This window comes from Homo sapiens, chromosome 5 (assembly GCF_000001405.40).
Source record: "Homo sapiens chromosome 5, GRCh38.p14 Primary Assembly".
Classification (NCBI taxonomy): domain Eukaryota; kingdom Metazoa; phylum Chordata; class Mammalia; order Primates; family Hominidae; genus Homo; species Homo sapiens.
Genome location: NC_000005.10, coordinates 34,952,871 through 34,973,734, shown reverse-complemented (window position 1 = coordinate 34,973,734; position 20,864 = coordinate 34,952,871). Strand labels below are relative to the sequence as shown.

The 20,864-nt window shown below is 39.7% G+C and overlaps 1 protein-coding gene across 5 annotated transcripts in view, besides 1 other annotated feature; it reads right to left on the bottom strand.

The window, feature by feature from the left end:
• The window catches only part of DNAJC21 (DnaJ heat shock protein family (Hsp40) member C21), a 29,406-nt gene continuing 23,312 nt past the window's right edge, over window positions 14,771–20,864 (bottom strand). For all 5 annotated transcript variants that reach the window (XM_011513965.3, NM_001348420.2, NM_194283.4 and 2 more), the window contains 2 exons: window positions 19,734–19,809; window positions 14,771–19,182 (listed from right to left, as the gene is read on the bottom strand). In XM_011513965.3, coding sequence (XP_011512267.2) covers window positions 19,021–19,182; window positions 19,734–19,809 — 238 coding nt within the window. In that variant the 3' untranslated portion in view covers window positions 14,771–19,020. The remainder of the gene's footprint in view (window positions 19,183–19,733; window positions 19,810–20,864) is intronic.
• Window positions 17,866–18,039: a silencer, noted in NCBI's record as "fragment chr5:34955801-34955974 (GRCh37/hg19 assembly coordinates)". NCBI's record gives its function as "represses an EF-1alpha promoter that drives an FKBP-Casp9 reporter gene in an ReSE screen in K562 erythroleukemia cells {active_cell/tissue: K562}" and the evidence as "EXISTENCE:reporter gene assay evidence [ECO:0000049][PMID:32094911]".

Below are 20,864 nucleotides of genomic sequence, written 5' to 3'. Positions count from 1 at the left end.
TCTTTGTATAGAAACATAAACTCTCAGTGTCTCAGTTTGGATGTTCTCCCACCCCAGGCTTCTATGACTCTCCCCCTTGCATTTACTTCTCCCTCTCCTCCACTTTCCATGGCTGGGGTAAGGTGCCCTTTCTGTGTTTCCATGGAGCACTGTGACCTCCTCACTCATCACAGGGCTGTTTTCCTTTAGGGAAGGAACTCCTTGTAGCCTGCAACTGTATGTTTTATCTTTATGTTCTTACAGCTAAGCAAAGCAGTGCCTGGCACACAGTAGATGCTCAGTAAGAATGTGTTGAATGAATGTATGTATGAGTAAATAACAAATTGATTAATTAATATTTTATTTATGGAGCTTCTACTATAAACAAGGTACTACGAGTTGTTCACAAATGCTTATGGGAACAAATCAATGCTAAGCACAGGAACTGTGTTCAAACTCAGTGCATCACATGGAATCCTTTGTCTCTGTGTAGGAAGCAAATGCTGCTGACCCAGCACCTACCTGTACCTTGCTTTATCTCTACAGATATAGAGAAACATCTGCTCTGATCCTCCACACTTTCTCACTCCTTGGAGAAAGTGGCTAAGGCTCAGATGATGCAGTGGGAGATAGGAATGAGGGCAGAAAACAGAGTGCAGGAAAAGAACACACATTGAAATGCAATTTCACACCACACATCATTAGGCCTTTGCACTCACCAGCAGAACTACACAGCATAGCATATAATGTACTTTAAAACCTGCAAACTCATCAGGAAGCCTGGTAGAAAAGAATTCAAATTTATTATGTGGTATATATATACCATAGAATACTACTCAGCCATAAAAAGGAACAAAATCATGGCTTTTGCAGCAACCTGGATGGAATTGGAGACCATTATTCTAAGTGAAGTAACTCAGGAATGGAAAACCAAATATCGTATGTTCTCACTCATAAGTGGGAGCTAAGCTATGAGGACACAAAGGTATAAGAATGATATATAATGAGGCCGGGCGCAGTGGCTCACACCTGTAGTCCCAGCACTTTAGGAGGCTGAGGTGGGTGGATCATTTGAGGTCAGGAGTTCAAGAACAGCCTGGCCAACATGGCCAAACCCTGTCTCTACTAAAAATACAAAAATTAGCTGGGTGTGGTGGTGTGCGCCTATAATCCCAGCTACTCAGGAGGCCGAGGCTCAAGAAACACTTGAATCCAGGAGTCGGAGGCTGCAATGAGCCAAGGTCGTGCCACTGCACTTCAGCCTGGGTGACAGAGTGAGACTCCGTCTCAAAAAAAAAAAAAAAAAAAGATATAATGGACTTTGGGGTGATTGGGGGAAAGGGTGGGAGGGGGGTGAGGGATAGAAGACTACTCACCGGGTAAATTGTACACTGCTGAGGCGATGGGTACACCAAAATCTCAGAAATCACCACTAAAGAACTTATTTATGTAACCAAACACTACCTGTTCCCCAAAAACCTATTGAAATTTTAAAAAAAGCCAACAAACTGGAAAAAAAACAAAACTCAAATTTATTGCCCCAAATTTTATTGTGTGCTAGCTAAGGTATTTTGAACTATGAGGGCAGAATTTGTTACACCTCCTTATAGAGAAACTGAGTGGTTTCGCCTACAAGCAAGACTAGCTATGAAATTTACAAAGTTCAAAGCAAAATGAAGATGTGGGGGCTTATGTTCAAAAATTAAAAATTGCCACCCAGCCATCCCATTACCGGGTATATACCCAAAGGATTATAAATCATGCTGCTATAAAGACACATGCACAGGTATGTTTATTGCAGCTCTATTCACAATAGCAAAGACTTGGAACCAACCCAAATGTCCATCAATGATAGACTGGATTAAGAAAATGTGGCACATATACACCACGGAATACTATGCAGCCATAAAAAAGGATGAGTTCATGTCCTTTGTAGGGACATGGATGAAGCTGGAAACCATCATTCTCAGCAAACTATCGCAAGGACAAAAAACCAAACACTGCATGTTCTCACTCATAGGTGGGAATTGAACAATGAGAACACTGGGACATAGGAAGGGGAACATCACACACTGGGGCCTGTCGTGGGGTGGGGGGAGGGGGGAGGGAAAGCAGTAGGAGATATAACTAATGTAAATGATGAGTTAATGGGTGCATCACACCAACATGACACATGTATACATATGTAACAAACCTGCACGTTGTGCACATGTACCCTAGAACTTAAAGTACAATAAAAAAAAAAATTGCCAGTGGTGACGAAAGAGCATTAAGTCAAACTCAAGGGCTGGCCCTTCTGAGCACAGGCCCTGGGTGACCGTCTGCATGGGTCGCATGCCCATGAAGTTGGTCCTGTCTGCAGAGCTGGCTCAGGGAGGTGATCTGGCCTCTTGGTGAGAAACAAAAACCTAAGGGTGGGAATGCTCAGATTCTACATTCAACATCCCCTGTTCTGCAGAATTCACTTGATTCATTTGTTACCAAGGATACCACCTAATCTCCTGCCTAAAAATTCAGGAACTTTCCTCTAGTGATTCTCTTTTTACTTTGTAGCCTTGAAAGGGTTTATCTACAAAGCCTCTCCTTGTCTCCTGGAGTCCCCCTCATTTCTCTTGGCCACCATAATAAAACAGCCCTTTTACTGAAGCTAAGATAAGGTCCTAGTTCTTTATCCTGGGAGATCCAGGTTAGGGCAGGTAAGAAAGGAAGCAAAGGAGGGAGACTAATCTCTCTTAGATGGTGTTGTTTACCCTAATGGTTCCCTTCCCAGCGTCCACTCTCCTGCTTCCTCCTTCCTAAGATAACGAGATTTTGCTCAGGTTTCTTGCTAAGAGATCTGGGATTTGGCTCAGTGTTCCCCAAGTGACTCAGGAAAAGCTAACTCCATCCCCAACTCCAGGGTAGGTTCCTGGATACTCTAAGCCAATTATAGCAATGCCATCCCACTTGTGGGAAGTCAGTCCTCCTGGGGCATTCCCATGGCTACAGGTTTCAAAGGCCCTGTGACTCAAGTTGGCCCTTTCAGACTGAAAGGAGGGACTTTTCATGATGGGTGAAGAGGGTTTTTCCTCTCTCTCTCCTTCCCTCCCTCTCTCTCTCTTTTTCTGAGCCCCCCACTCCAAAGCCCCCTCCTGACAGTGTGAGAGGACAATATTCTGTCCCAGTTGATATTGGCATCCATTTTTTGACCATGAGGGAAGGCTGCCTGAGGACAAAGATAGCACAGGAGATAGGGAAGACAAATATATTAGCAGACAAATGGAACTGGAGCCCCCATGGATTGTTTCCAGAGCCTGCACAATTTCTTTTAACTGTTTTGGGAGATAATATACTTCCTTATTAACTAAGTTCATTAGAAATTTTGTTTCTTGCATCAAAAACATACTATTTGACACAGATGCAGATAGAATTCTCTGTCTCAGGTTGACTTACTCACATACACTTCATGAATATTCATTAAGCATCCTTATACACATATTAGGTCCTATAGTAGATACAAGGATTCAATATGCTGCTGTCCTCAGAAGCTTACAGTCTAGTACAGAAGTCGTGACTTACACATATGAAACATTTCCTGACAATGGGAAGCAATGTATGCTTTTTGAAAGTTTGTTTTGAAATTTACAACACATGTTGTCTACCCCTTCTACTCCTGTTCCTGAGATGCAACTATTCATGAGTAGAGTTTATCCTTCTAAAAGCTTCAATGTCTTCTTCCTGAGGCAACATATGGTAAGAATTAAGTGATAAAGGAGTTCAGGGGAGGAAAAACTTACTCAGGCTGAGGAGATATTAGGAAAGCTTCATGGAAAAGAAGTCATGTAAACACTATTGCCCTAAAGCTCAGGTAGCAGGGTCCCTGACCGGGCTTTGTAGGGATAAAGAGCATGCCACCCCAAAATGTGCCATTTTGGCATATCTATTACTTTGAGTTAAAGGCACTTAAGAAACAGCAGGTGCAAGAATGGCATTCTGATCTTCCTTTTTCTTCCTCAAAGCAAGAGATAAAACTCTCATGTGAAAGGTACCCTCCCTGACCAGGAGGAAGGAAGACACTCTTATTCTCAGAGATGGGGTGTCAAAGCTGAGAGAGAAACGGGTACCAAAAAACCTTATTAAACTAACCCTTATCTGCCTAGCCACTTTTCCACAATTAAGTGTTCTACCCCAAACCTCTTTGTCATGTTTTCAAACTTTACTATTCTTTGTCCAGCCTGTTAGGTAAGCTTTCAGCCCTAATTGCTCCTTTGAGTTTCGTTTTTCTTGTGAGGGCTCCCATGTACAAGTAAAAATTACTAAATAAAGTATGTATGCTTTTCTGTTATTCATCTATCTTATGTCAATTTAATTCTCAAGCCTAGCCAGAGAGCCTAAGAGGAAAGGGAAATTTTGCCTCCTCCAGAGCCCCCACTTAGCCTTCCTTTTGCCATGTCCCTTCCTAGGGAACAAGGAATCCACAAAGCCCTGTGGTTTAGACCATAATCCAGATACCCAGAACCCCAGAATTGCCTGCCCACATGACTCAAAGCCCACTTGCAGGGCCTACATGGGTCTTCCAGGTAATTTCCCATTTAAGGTCAACTGTGCCATATAACGTAACAATTAGAGGGGTGATATTTTAATCATATTTTTGAGTTCCAGGACAAGAACTCTCAGGTGAGGGGAATTTTTAAATTTTGCCTACCACAATAATAAAATTCTAGAAATAACCAATATGTGAAGCTGGTATGAAATTCCAAAAGCACAAAAGGTGATATAGCAAAAGAGTCTCCAGCCCTTATCTCTTCTCTCCATCACCCAGTTTACCTCACCATGGATAGTCACTGTTAGTGGTCCTTCGACCACCATATTACACAAATACATCCTGCTTTTTTTTACCTTAATACTATATCTTGCAAATCATTTTGTAGCTGTATCATAACTTATTAGCTATCCATGGGTATTTAGGTTATTTAGAATATTTTTCTTTTACAAAAAAAGTGCTGTGATTAAAACCCTTTTAGAGCCAGTCTCCATGCATGCCACTGGGGGACCTGGAGATCAATCTGCCTTGCTTGCCACCCACCAGCGCCCATGCACACCTTCCAGGGGCCTACAGACCAGCTCCTCCTGCTCACTGCCACCACCTGTACCTACTGTCTGGAGGCCTGAGGATAGTCCTACCCTACCCACCGCCACCAGCACATGCATGCACTATCCAGGATGGACCCACCCCAACTGCCACCAGTACCTCCATGTGCTGGACACTAGCCCACCAAGGCCACCACTGCCACTGCTGGCATGTGCATGCACTGTATGAGGGTCCAAGGGTTGTCCTCCAGCAATACTGTAACCACTTAATGGATTTACCTTGCCTGCTGCCTAGACAGAGCCAATTTATCAAGACAGAGGGATTGCAATAGACAAAGAGTTATTCATGCCGAGCTGGCTGTACAAGAGTCCAGAGTTTTTTTTACTATATTATTCACATCAGTCTGCCTGAGCATTCAGGGATCAGAGTTTTTTTTGTTTTGTTTTGTTTTTTTGTTTTGGTTTGGTTTGGTTTTTTTTGAGACGGAGTCTCACTCTGTCGCCCAGGCTGGAGTGCAGTGGCACGATCTCAGCTCACTGCAAGCTCCGCTTCCCAGGTTCACGCTGTTCTCCTGCCTCAGCCTCCCGAGTAGCTGGGACTACAGGTGCCCGCCACCATGCCCAGCTAATTTTTTTGTATTTTTAGTAGAGACAGGGTTTCACCATGTTAGCCAGGATGGTCTCAATCTCCTGACCTCGTGATCTGCCCGCCTCAGCCTCCCAAAGTGCTGGGATTACAGGCGTGAGCCACCGTGCCTGGCAGGGATCAGAGTTTTTAAGTATAGTTTGGTGAGCAGTGGGGCAGTGAGTTGGGAGTTCTGATTGGTCCGGTTGGAGATGAAATTACAGGTAGTTGAAGCTATCCTCTTGCACTGAGTCAGTTCCTAGTTGGGGGCCACAAGACCAGATGACCCAGTTTATCGATCTGGGTGGTGCCAGCTGATCCAGTGAGTACAAAGTCTGCAAAATATCTCAAGCTCTGATCTTAGGTTTTACAATAGTTACATTATCCCTAGGAGCAACTGGGGAGGTTTAGAATATTGCAGTCTCCAGCTGCATGACTCCTAAACTATAATTTCTAATCTCGTGGCTAATTTGTTAGTCCTGCATAGGCAGTCTGGTCCCCAGGCAGGAAGGGGGCTTATTTGGAAAGGGCTATCATCTATGTTTCAACCATAAACTATAAACTAAGTTCCTCCCAAAGTTAGTTTGGCCTATGCCCAAGAATGAACAAGGACAGCTTGGAGGTTAGAAGCAAGATGGAGTTGGTTAGGTCAGATCTCTTTTACTGTCTCAGTCATAATTTTGCAATGATAGTTTCAAGCCTGTCACCACCAATGCCATGCACACTGTCCAGGGGCCCAAGGACCTACCTGCCTAGCCTACCACTGCCACCACCAGCACCTGAGCATGCCACCTGGAGGCTCAAGGACCAGCCCACCCAGACCAGCCACCACTGGTATCTGTGTATGCTACCCAGGCATGTGAAGACTGGCACATCTGACTCACTGCCACCACTACTGGTGCCTGAGGAGTGGCTGCCTAGTGTCCCTGATCCCAACAAAGCCTTGCCCCAGCCTCTACCAACAAGTGCAACCTAAGCCAATGAAGAACTCACAGTTATCACTGATGCTGATTACAGCCAAAGAAGTCATTATGAAGACTACGCTAATGTGCCTACCCAGAAGCAAAGCCAAAGCACCCTTCCCAACCAACACCATTATACATGTATAGGAATAAAGACTTTCCCTATGAAAGTCAATAGATAGAATTGGAAGAAGTAACACTAAATGTGCAGCAATCACCATAAGGACACCAGAAAACATGGAAAGGAAAGGAAACATAACACTTCCAAAGGAATACAATAATTCTCTAGCAACAGATCCCAAATAAAACTTATGACTTGTCTAAAAAATAATTCAAAATAATGATCTTAAAGGAATCCAGCAAGTTGCAAGAGAATGCAGATAAACAATACAAAGAAATCAGGAAAACAATTTATGAGCTGAATGAGAAATTCAACAAGGAGATAGGTATCATAAAAAAGAACCAAACAGAAATCCTGAAGTTGAATAATTCAATGAATTAAAAAATAAAATCAAGAGCTTCAATAATAGACTAGATCAAACAGAAAAAAAATTGGACTTGATAAGAGATCTTTTAAAATAACTCATTCAGACAAAAAAAAAAAAGAGAACAAGAGAGAGAAAAGAATGAAGCCTATGTGATATATCGGAATACTATAAATCATAAAAATATTCAAGTTTTAGGAGTTCCAGAAGAAGAGATGGACAAAGTCATAGAAAACCTATTTAATGAAATAATAGCTGAAAACATCTCAAGTCTTGCAAGAAATATAGACATCCAGATACAGGAAGCTCAAAGATCTCTAAGTAGGTTCAATCCAAAAAGATGTTTTTCCAATGCATGCTATAATCAAACTGTCAAAAATCAAAGATGAAGAGAGAACTCCGAAAACCACTAGAGAAAAGCATCAAGTCACATAAGTCAGATATAAGGGAATTTCCATCAGACTAACAGTGTATTTCTCAGCTGAAACCTTATAGGTTAGGAGACAATGGGACACTATATTCAAATGAAAGAGAAAAAAAACCCTGCCAACCAAGAATACTATCCCTAGAAAAGCTATTCTTCAAAAATGAAGGAGAAATAGTCTTTCCCAGACAAGCAAAAACTGAGGGAATTTATCACCACTACAGATCTTAAAAGAAATGCTTAAGGAAGTCCTACATTTGGAAGCAAAAGGACATTTTCTATCGCGAAAACACATGAAAGTATAAAGCTCACTGAGAGAACAGATGAGAAAGAAAATGAGGAAGAAAGAGGACTCAAACATATTCACTACAGAAATCCACCAACTGTAAAGGTAAACAATAAAAGAGGAAGAAGAGAACAAAGAATACACCAATCAGAAAACAATCAACAAAATGTCAGGAGTAAGTCCTCACCTGTCGATAGCAACCTTGAATGTAAATGGCTTAAATTCCCCAATTAAAAGATACAGACTGGCTGAATGAATTAATAAAACAATTCCCAGCAAGATGCAGTGGCTCACACCTGTAATCCCAGCATTTTTGGAGGCTGAGGCGGATGGATCATTTGAGGTCAGGAGTTCGAAACCAGCCTGGCCAACATAGTGAAACACTGTCTGTACTAAAAATACCAAAATTATCCATATGTGGGGGTGCAGATCTGTAATCCCAGCTACTCAGGAGGCTGAGGCATGAGAATCACTTTAACCTTGGAGACAGAGGTTGCAGTGAACCTAGATTGCGCTACTGCACTCCAGCCTGGGCGAGAGAGCAAGACTCAGTCTCAAAAAAAAAAAATCAAATCAAACCAAACCAAACCAAACAAGATCTAACTATAAGCTGCCTACAAGAAACTCATTTCACTTGTAAGGACACACATAGACTGAAGGGATGGAACAAATATTCCACACAAATGGAAACCAAAAACACGCAGGAGGAGCTATACTTTTATTAGAAAATATAAGGCTGGATGCAGTGGCTCATGCTTATAATCCCAATAATTTAGGAGGCCAAGGCAGGAGGACTGCTTGAGTTCAGGAGTTGGAGACCAGCCTGGGCAACATAGGGAAATCCCATCTCCACAAAAAATAAGAAAACTAGCTAGGCATGGTGTCACATGCCTGTGGTCCCACCTACTGAGTAGGCTGAGGTGGGAAGATTGCTTGGGCCCAGGAAATCAAGGCTGCAGTGAGCCATGATCATGCCACTCCACTCTAGCCTAGGCAACAGACTGAGACCCTGTTTCAACAAAGAAAAGAAATATATATAGAATTTAAGTAAAAAAATAAAAACAAAAAAAGAAAGAAGGTTATATTATTATATATGTCATATAATAATATATACAATGATCATCAATGATCACATATCATTATATAATGATAAAGGGGTCAATTCAGCAAGGGGATATAATATTGTAAATATATATGCACCAACACCAAAGCACCCAAATATATATAACAAATATTATTAGTGCTAAAAATATAGACTCTAATATAATAATAGTTGGAGAAGCCAACACCTCACTTTCAGCACTTGAAAGATCATCAAGACAGAAAATTAGCAACAAAAATGGACTTAATCTTCACTAGAGGCTGGGCATGGTGGCTCACACCTGTAATCACAACACTTTGGGAGGCCAAGGAGGGCAAATTACTTGAGCCCAGGAATTGAAGACCAACCTGGGCAACACAGGGAGGCCCTTTATCTACAAAAAGTAAAATTAGCCAAGCATGGTGGTGCATGCCTGTGTTCCCAGCTACTCAGGAGGCTGAGGTGGGAGGATCACTTGGGCCTGAGAGGTTGAGGCTGCAATGAGCTATGAATGCACCACTGCAATTCAGCCTGGGTGATAGAGTAAGACCCTGTCTCAAAAAAGAAAACAAAACAAAAAACAAACAAACAAAAAAAGCACACACACAAACCTTTACTATAGACCAAATGAATCTAACAACCTAACAAACATTTACAGAACATTTCACCCAACAACTGCAGAATATACATTTTTCTCATCAACAAATAGAACATTTTCCAGAAGAGACCACACAAGGGGTAATCAAAATTCATGAAAAAATGTATATCGTGAGGAAACTATACATGGATGTCAAAATTTTTTGCACTAAAACTTGTACTAACTTACTGTAACATAGCAGAACAGGATCTAGTTTGAGGCACTAAGAAGGATAAGACATCAGTTTGAAAAGAGAGCCTATCAGAGCTATATAAATTCTGCTAAAATTGAAGGAAGAACAAGCATCAAATTTACGGTAAAGCTTGGGTGGAAGATGATAAAATCATTCATGTTTTACAAAAAGTTTATGGGGACAATGCCCCAACAAAATTAGCAGTTTATAAATGGATAATTCATTTTAAGAAAGGACAAGGTAGTTTGAAGATGAAGCCTGCAGCAACAGACCATTCACATTAATGTGCAAGGAAAAAAATTCATCTTGTCTGTGCCCTATCTGAAGAGGACCAACAATTAACAGAAGAAACGATAGCCAACACCACAGACATCTCAATTGTTTCAGACTTCAACCAACTCTGACTGAAAAATTACAGTTGAGCAAACTTTCACCAGATGGGCACCAAAACCATTGCACTGTAATCAGGCACAAACAAAAGCAAAGCTTTCAACAGAATTTTTTTAAGTGGCATCAAGATTCTAAAGCCTAGCTTCAAAAAATTATAACAAAAGATGGAACATGGCTTTACCAGTACCATCCTGAAGATAAAGCACAATCAAAGCAGTGGGCTACCAAGAGGTGAAAGTGGTCCAGTCAAAGCGAGAGTGAACTGGTCAAGAGCAAAGGTCATGGCAACAGTTTTTTTTGGATGGTAAAGGAATTTTGCTTGTTGACTTTCTGGAAGGCCAAAGAATAATAACACCTGTTTATTATGAAGGTGTTTTGAGAAAGTTAGCCAAAGCTTCAGTCAAAAAATGCCCAGGATAGCATCACCAGAGAGTCCTTCTCCACCGCAATGCTTCTGATGATTTCTCCAACTAGTAAGAGGAATTTTGTGAGTTTCTATGGAAAATTATTAGGCATACACCTCACAGTACTGATTTGGCTCCTTCTTTTTTTTTGTTTGCTAATCTTAAAAAAAAAATCTAAAAGACATCTATTTTTCTTCAGCTAATATTGAAAAAAGACTGCATTGACATGGTTAAATTCCCAGGTTCCTCAGTTCTTTAGGGTTGAACTAAATGGCTGGTATTGTCACTTACAAAAGTGTCTTGAACAGGATGGAGACTTTTTTTTTTTTGGCTCACTCTGTCACCCAGGCTGGAGTGCAGTGGACTGATCTCAGCTCACTGCAACCGCTGTCTCCCGGGTTCAAGTGGTTCTCCTGCCTCAGCCTCCCAAGTAGCTGGGACCACAGGTGCACAGAACCACAACCGGCTAATTTTCGTGTTTTTAGTAGAGATGGGGTTTCGCCATGTTGGCCAGGCTGGTCTCGTACTCCTGGCCTCAGTGACCCGCCTGCATCGGCCTCCCAAAGTGTTGGGATTACAGGCGTGAGCCACCACGCCTGGCCAGAAAGGAGCTTCTTTTGAGAAATATAGTTTACATTTTTAAAAATCTTTTAATTCCATTTTTTCACAAATTTAAGGTTTCCTAATATGTTAGGCCACAAAAAAAGTAAAAAAAAAAAAAAAAAAAATTTAAAAATTGAAATAATATCAAATGTCTTCTCAGACCACAACAGAATAAAACTAGAAATTAGTAACAAGAGTAACTTGGGAAACTATACAAACACATGGAAATTAAGCAACATGCTCTTAAATAAACTTTTAAAAAACTGAAACAAATGAAAATGGAAATGCAAAATACCAAAACCTATAGGATACATCAAAAGCAGTGCTAAGAGAGAGGTTTTATAGCAGTAAAAGCCTATGTCAAAAAAGTAGAAAGAGGCCAGTCATGGTGGTTCACACCGGTAATCCTAGCACTTTGGAAGGCTGAGGCGGGTGGATCACTTGACATCAGGAGTTGGAGACCAGCCTGGCCAACATAGTGAAGCTCTGTCTCTACCAAAAAATACAAAAAAAAACTAGTCAGGCACAGTGGCATGCACCTGTAATCCCAGCTACTCAGGAAGTTGAGGCTTGAGAATCGCTTGAACCCGGGCAGAGGATGCAGTGAGCCAAGATCGCACCACTGCACTCCAGCCTGGGTGACAGAGTGAGACCTTGTCTCAAAAAAAAAAAAAAAAAAAAGTAGAAAGATTTCAAATCTGCTGCCTCATCATCAAACTCTTGGGCTTCTCTGCAACTACAGGTAGACAATCTACTGGCCACAGCAGCTGCTGTCACATTCTTCTACAGTGTTTGTAACAAGGGGACTGGCCAGTCTCTGACTGTACACTCGCTGGTACAGGGAGCTAACCACATCCTGATACCGATTCCATTGTTGGATGGAACGGTTGGGAATTCTGCTTCACAATATGCTGAGATAACTGTAACCTTTGGACTCACAAAAGTATGAGTTCTTATTTAATTTGAAAATAAGTATCTGAAGAGAGCTATAAACTATATACCACTTTTTCTAAATGCCGAGTTTCTACGGCCTTTTCATTTTCAGAAATTGTTAGAAAAGAAATTTTCCCTAAGTAACATTCAAATGATTTGCAGTGCAAAGAATAATTTAATTTGACCCTTTTCTATTTTCAGAAGGCACATGGTATCTAAAAGGACATCACTGATGTGGGGCCCTCTAACTAGTTTTAACAGCAAAGTAAAAATGTACTGAGCCTTCTAAGGTAATTAAGGATCACTGATCTTCAAGACAGCTTCTAGCTTTAGCCTTTAAAAATTTTCTTCCATTTGAGCCAGAAGAATTTCATATATGTAACAGTATCTTAAAAAATACAGTACAGGGCCAGGCATGGTGGCTCAGGCCTGTAATCCCAGCACTTTGGGAGGCCGAGGCGGGTGGATCACTTGAGGCCAGGAGTTCGAGACCAGCCTGGCCAACATGGTGGAACCATCTCTACTTAAAAATTTCCCAAGTAGCACGGTGGCATGCCTGTACTCTCAGCTACTTGGGAGATTGAGGCAGGAGTATCACTTGAAAATGGGAGGTGGAGGTTGCAGTGAGTGGAGATTACGCCACTGCATTCTAACCTGGGCAAGAGTGAGACTGTCTCAAAAAAAAAAAATACAGTACAGGATCAATTTAATCACTGATACCTCTCCAGATTACTCCATTGTTGGGATTCTTTCAGAAAACAAAGTGAACAGTTAAATGAAGCAAGAATACTGTGAAACTTTTGAAGTAAACAAAAGCTAAGTTATTGAATGCCTACTACGTGCCAAGCACTGTGCACACATTTAAGACTCTAATCTTCACAATTCTGCCAGATTGGTCTCACCTCTATTTTACAGATTTAAAAAAACATTGCTCAATGTGTTTAAATGACTTGCTTAAAATCGTATGCTAACACAAGACTGGAATTCAATGCAAGATCTGAGAGTTAAATGCCCACATGCCCTCGCCCCTGTTTAAACTAGACCTCTCACTTAGCTAACTGTACACATGTGGAAACATGAATCAGTCAGGATTTTGTTATCTGTGACAGGTCAAAACAGCAGTGGCTTCAGAAACGTAGAAATTTTCTTCTCTCCAGTGCAGACGTAGACAATCTGGGGCTCCTAGTGTCCCTCTGAGGTGTCAAGAGTAGAAGCTCCTATGTTTTTTGTTGCTGTGCCCTCTGTGGTTTCACGATCCCAGATAGGGGCCAGAGCTCCAAACATTACCTCTGCATTTTGGCTGGCGAAGGAATAAAGACATGCTCCTATCTTTAAGGACATGTCCCAAACGTTGCTCAGATCACTAGCCAGATCTGATTGAATCCAAGTGAGGCTGGGAAAGTAATCCTTATATTCTGGGTGGCCTTGCACTTATCTGAAAATCAGAGTTCTAAAAGGGAGGATGAATATTGAGAGACCATAGCCTCTGCCAGTGTGCTTAATGAGTATGCCAAGAATAAAAAGTAGAACTTAAATCCCTTCATCTTCCCCTTCATTCAAGTGTATATTCTGCTAGCAAAGTGAGACATTCATCTGTACTTTTCTTGATACTTGAAGTATTTTGTTAGAACCAGAGTAACAAATCCCCATGGACCCACCATCCAGAATTTAACAAATGCTTACATCTTCCTTCAGATCTTTAAAAAAAAAAAAAAAAATTGAAACAGAAGAGACCCCTTTTGCAACCACAAGCAGTTCTACTCTCCTCTGAGTTCAAGGCAACTGCTTTCTCATTATGTTTCTATACTTTCTCTCTATAAATAACAATCAACATAGTTTTTTTAAAAAACTGTATAAATGGCATGCATTTCATCTTCTGCGACAGCTTATTTTCATTCACTATTTCTTCAAGGGCCATCCACATTACAGATCAAGTTCATTCATTTTAATTGCTCAATTGTTTACCATCTATAAATAGGCCACAATTTACTTATCTATTTTCTTGCTCATGAGCATTTAGGTAACTTTTCCTGGAAACAAACAGTTCAGCTGTGAGGCTTCTTGTACATCTCCTTGTACACATGTGCATGGTTTCTCTAGAAGATTGCTTCTCAAGGTTTCATGAGCATGAGTCACCTAAGAAATCTTAACCACAGAGTCTGGTGCAGCAAGTCCAGGTCAGGACCTGAGAGTTGCAAGCTTCCCAGGTGAAGCCCATGCTGCTGCTCTGTGGCCCACACTTTGGGAAGTGAGACTCTTAAGTGTATACCTAGAATTGTTGGGTCACAGAGTATGCAAACCTCACTTTCTTAGACATCATCAAATTGAACCCGTTTTTACTCCAAAAGTAGTGAATGTGTTCCTATTGCTCCATTCTCACCAACACTAGATCTTGTGACTTTTTACCTTTTGCTAATCTGAAAGCATGAAAAAACTAGGTCACATTTCACTGATTATCAGGACAGTAATAATCTTTCCACATTTTTTTTGACTATTCAGGCTTTTTCTGTTCATATAATTCATCCATTTTTCTAATGCAGCAATTTTAAGTGTGGTCCAAGGACCCTAGCGGTCCCGAGACCCATTCAGTGGGTCTGCAAGGTCCCTTTTTTTTAACGATTACCTATCCATGTGAGGCTGATTTTCTCCTTCACATACTTCATCCAAAACACACAGCAATAGACTGCAGAAGCAGGTATGAGAGGCCAGCTATCTTTTATTAAGCTAAATGTTAAAGAGATTTGTAAAAATGTAAAACAATACCACTCTTCTCATTTTTTGTTTTGAAAAATAGTCATTCTTCTTATTTTTTTAACATAATTTTTAAATTCTAACAGAAAATATCAATAGATTTAACCCACATACATGAAAACTCTTTGGGGTTCTCACTTTTGAAGAGTGTAAAGGGATCTTGAGACCAAAAGTTTTGAGAATTGCTGTTCTAATGCATGGCTGTCATTTACTCAATGACTTTTGTATGAGGTTCTTTTGCTTCTTTAATGTATTCCAGATACGAATCCTTTGACAGTTCCATGCATTGCAAACATTTCCTTGTCTGTAGCTTGTTCTTTTACAGTCTCTATTGTTCTACAGAAGCCATGTTTTTATGCATCATTTTTTCCTGTGTATGCTTTTGTGTCTTGCTTTAAAGAAATCCTTCCCATTTGCAAAATCATGAAAATAACCTTATAGATTCTCATTTAAAAGTTTTGTCTTCATATTTAGGTCTTTAATCCCTTTGTTTTTGGGGAAGGGTATAAGGTAGTACATATTGTTTTCCCCATAGAGCTTGCCGTATCTGTCAAAAATCAAGTTCCCATATAAACATGGACCTGTTTCTGGGCTCTTTATTCTCGTCAGGGATCCCTTGACTGACCTCTACTGGCACCAGCCACACACTACTTTAACTGGTATACCTTTAAAATATTCTTTGACATTGTTAGGACAAGTTCATGCCTCTTCCTCTCGTCCTTCTTCAAAATTATCTTGCTTTTTCTTAATCTTTTTCTTCCCATGTAACACATTTTGAGGTGTAACAGAAGGCCTACTGAGTTGGGAGTCCAGGCATCTGCCCTGTTCTACTGGCAGCCGCCCCTAACCAGCTGTGGCTGTGGAGCTCATATCTCCCTGAGCTCAGCTTCCTCTTCCATAGAACAAGAAATCTGAAAATCACCTCTAATTTTTCCTCTCCAATCCCAAGAGCCTATATTTTTAGTATAAAGACATTAAATTTAACAGATAAGGAAGGGAATTGAATAGAGATACTTCAGCATTGCAGATTATAGGGAACAGAACTTCTGCCACATAAATGGTAATGTTTAGGAATTCATAAAAAAGTTTAAAAGTTCTCTTCATTATTTTATGTTGAAGGTTAGGCTAGAATCATCACCAGAGAATTCACGGGATTTTGGGGGTCCTCTAAAATGAAACTATGTCTTGCTATAGGAATTTTACTTCCTGCGTGAGTTAAACCACAATTTTAGAGACAATCTTCTACAAATACAAGAGTAATTTCCAATCTGAAAATTTTGTAGGGGAGGATTTAGAAAAAATGAAAACTTCTGATGAAATCCTTTATAAGTCTTCTCATGGTACCAAAATTCCAATATTACTTCACCAGCAATCACTAGGTCATGAACTCTGATGTGACTTGACCTCCACTAACTCATTCACAGCTCTGCTTTTCCTTCTTTGTGACCAAAGGCAGGAATTAGAAAAATGCTTGGCTAGAGCTAAGGATACTGCTCTTATTTTGAAGCAGGGAAAGTCTAAATAGCCATTGTAGGGAACCCCCAGCTTTGGCACCACTGAATGAATTACAGAAAGAAAATGAGATTTCCCCTAACTTTCTTCTCCTGGACCCTCATTCTATGAATCTCCACATCTGAGCTAACTTCAATCAAGATGGGTACTTAGCACTGACCTCTAATAAGATCAGTGTAAGATGCATGCCCATGTATTTTAGTTTATTGTTTTACCTCAGACAAGTGAAATTAAATGTCTGCAATTCACCAAAAATATTTTACCCTTAGCAAAATATATGGTACGTTCCTGTTTTCCTCTTCAAAAGTAGACTTAGGAAGCAAATTCCTATAAAACTTAATTGCCCATTTAATCCAACATGTATAGTCTGCAAATATATAAACTAAAAAAGATTTACCTTATTTAAATTCAACAATATTTTGTATAAAGCTTTTGTGTTTAAAAAGCATTTTCATATATACTACTTCATTTTACTTTCATAATGATCCTGTATGATAAATGGAGACAATATTATTATGGTAATAACTGTGTTAGAGATAAGAAAAAGTTCTGAGAAATTAGATGATTTCTCAACATCATAAAGGATGAGACGCAAGACTAAGGTCAGCTTCCAGTCACAACCCATGAAGATCCCTTGAAAATTATGGTTGATTTTCGTCAATCCGAATAAAAGCGACACATAACTCCACTCAACCCTCATTAAACAAATTAAATACCTGCATGTTTGGTATAAGAGAAAGCAAAGAAGTCATAGGGACATTTGCAGTACATTAACTGCCTTTCAAGATGACTTCCTATTTTTTAGTGTATAATAACATGTGACTAGTATGTCCTCTGGTTCATTAATATTCCTATTCATAATTATGGCCAATTCATCTAGTTCAGATAAGAAGGCGGCAGAGCACATTCAGATGAAGTCTCAGGGTACGAGATCAGAAGATACAAAACTGCCTAGTATTCCCCCTGAAGAGATCAAGAAGGGGAGCAGGGACAATTATAAGGAATTAGTGATAGAAATTAGCAAGAAATAGAAAGGTATGAAGGTAAAGAAAAAAACATATCTCTAAATGGAAAAGAAAAGAATTTAAATTAAGGTTCAAATGCTTATTTTTAAGACAATAACACAGAAGAAATCTGATCATCAATACTATCCATGAAGCTATCAGAAAAGACCTTGCCATTAAGGACTTTAGTGTTTGAGAGCTGATCTGTAACCGAAAATTTGTTCATTTCGTTAATCTGAAGATTCAAGGATATATGGAAAGCAATAACTTCATTGTACAGAAAGCACACATTTCAAGCCAGTGAGTTTAAAATTACTTTCTTTTTTTTTTTTTTTTTTTTTTTGAGACGGAGTCTCGCTCTGTCGCCCAGGCTGGAGTGCAGTGGCGGGATCTCGGCTCACTGCAAGCTCCGCCTCCCGGGTTCACGCCATTCTCCTGCCTCAGCCTCCCAAGTAGCTGGGACTACAGGCGCCCGCCACTACGCCCGGCTAATTTTTTGTATTTTTAGTAGAGACGGGGTTTCACCGTTTTAGCCGGGATGGTCTCGATCTCCTGACCTCGTGATCCGCCCGCCTCGGCCTCCCAAAGTGCTGGGATTACAGGCGTGAGCCACCGCGACCAGCCAAAATTACTTTCAAGACCAATGAAAAGAACTGACTAATCCATCCTAAAAATGGACTCAATACTGATCAATGTACACGACTGTTCTAACACTCAGTTATAACAGTTCTCCATATTTCCTTTGTGTTAATATTCATCACTGTTATAGAATAGATGTATAAGCATCAGCTCTATCACAAAATCTTTCATTAACAAAGCTTTTCTCCACTGAGTGATGGAAAAAAAAAAAAGAACAAAAACTTCTGAAAATAGTGAAGAAAAAAACTCAATGAAGAACACCACATCTCTTCTTAAATAGTATAAATTCTGTACCATCTGCTACCTTGTTCCGTCATACTTTACAGCTGTCACTGTGCCTAGGGAGGACATGCCATGTAAACTAATTTGCTTCCACCTCCACAATTCAAATCGGAGCAAAAAACTGAACAATACACCTTACTGGTAAACCAGTAAAATATCAAATTAAATCAAGTAAAACCTTGAAGAGACACTATTCTTGAAAGACTACCAAATGTTCAATTAGTTTCTACCTATCACTGTTCTTGAGAAAAAAAATACAGTAATCAATAATCGGTTATTTAAAAATAATTTTTAAAATCGGAACCAGTGTCATATGGAAAAATGATCTATGATGCTTTTTAAAAGATCCGAGTTTTTCACATATTATGAAGTATTAACAAAACACAAAAGCATTAAGTAAAAGTAATGTGAAATTCAGAAAATAAAGCAGAAAGTTGCACTTCTGTGTGTTAAAATAATGTAATTCTCCCTGTACATTTCTGTCCACATGAGCCAATAAACATCAAGAATACACACTTTACAGTATTTACCTGTTTTAAGACATTCAAGTCAATTCAGATGGCAAAAGTAGAATTCAATCACTAGTGAAATGTTTTAAAAATATATATTAAACCAAAAAAGTGTTTTTACAAGATAAAAAATAATCTTCCACAATGTAATTAATTGCAGATCACTGAAATTTTAACTCTTTAGATGATTTCAGTTCAGTTTTTTGGTTTCAAAATCTAGAGACAGTCAAACAAAAGCACAGGCAGAATCTCTATCTGTTTTTACGTTTCTCTTTCTTGCTTTGACTACTTGTTGCGCTGTTTAAAGACGATGATGAAGGTGCTCTTGCATGACCTGTGGCCTTTAGATGGTCAAAAAGTTTATTCCGAGATGGAAATTCACTATGGCAGGTTGTACAGCTGATAAGAACACTCTGAGAAGGGCAAAAAATCATAAATAAAAGTAAGCGTTATCACTTGAAAGTAGTGTTTTAGGTTTTAATATCAAGATTAAGCATCAAACAATTGTAAAATAAAGATGTTTTAACAGAGTGGACAGGTAATAAACACGTTCAACAAAGGCAGATGTTCTTGGAGGTTAAATCCCACTAATCAACACGATTAACTTTAAGGGTCCTGAGACTTTCAATAGCATGTACCTCATGGACTAAAAAAGAGGAAGAGTTTATGCTTCACAATTAATCTCCAGAACTTGACACATGTAATTCTTATCACCAAGGCTTTAGATTGAAAAGTAATAGAAAACAACAGTAACTGTTCTGGTACAGTCTAGCATTTCCAATGTGCTTCTTTTTATTTTAATGAAAAAAAAAGATACATTATATCAAACAAAACTGTTGATGGATCCACATCTTTGCAGGCTCTTTGCGGAATGGCTCACCAAATACACATTTCCATCTTTAGATCATTATACTGCTTAAACAGCAAGATATGCTAAAGAGATATGAATATGATTTTGACCTACCATTGTTTGTGGTTCAGCAGGTACTCTGACAGGTTTTTTCATATCTTTGGTTTTCTTTCCTTTGGGTTTAGGAACACTGGAAAATAAATAATTCAGCATAATCCAAAAATAACATACTCCTTTTAACCATCATTATTTGAGTGCTCTCTAGAACACTCAAAAAAGTGAACTGCACTTTAAAAGTTAATTCATTAATTTTAAAGGCAATTTAAATAATCTTTACATCTTAAATGAACATCTTTAAAAAGCAACTTCAGAAATCAAATTGAATATCAAATTTGGCACAAAAATTAAGGAATTTCCTTAAAACAGTTGAAACAAAGTTAAAACAAGGTCCTTAAAATATCTCTGAATGTTTTATACAGAGATAAATGTTTTATACAGTGTTTAATACAGTGTTTTATACAGAATGTTTTATACAGTGTTTTCATAAAAACACTGCCAGGCACGGTGGCTCACACCTGTAATCCCAGCACTTTGGGAGGCCAAGGCGGGGAGATCACTTGAGGTCAGGAGCTCGAGACCAGCTTGGCCAACATGGTGAAACCTCCGCCTCTATTAAAAATATAAAAAATTAGCTGAGCGTGGTGGCAGGCACCTGTAATCCCAGTTACTTAGGAGGAGGAGCAGGGGAATCACTTGAACCCAGGAGGTGGAGACTGCAGTGAGCCAAGATTGCACCACTGCATTCTAGCTGGGGTGACAGAGTAAGACTGTTTCAGGGGGAAAAAAAAAAGCACAAAGCACTTAATACTCCATTTAAAGGAGCAAACCATCTTCAAAACTAACCAACGGTAATCATAAATGATCTGACATGAAGTGTGGTTCCCCAAAAACATTAACTTTTTTTTTGAGATGGAGTCTCACTCTGTCACCCAGGCTCGAGTGCAGTGGCGCGATCTTGGCTCACTGCAACCTCTGCCTCCCGGGTTCAAGCGATTTTCCTGCTTCAGCCTCCCGAATAGCTGGGATTACAGGCACGTGCCACCATACTCAGCTAATTTTTGTATTTTTTAGTAGAGACAGGGTTTTACCATATTGGCCAGGATGGTCTCGAACTCCTGACCTCGTGATCCACCCGCCTTGGCTTTCCAAAGTGCTGGGAATATAAGCGTGAGCCACCCTGCCTGG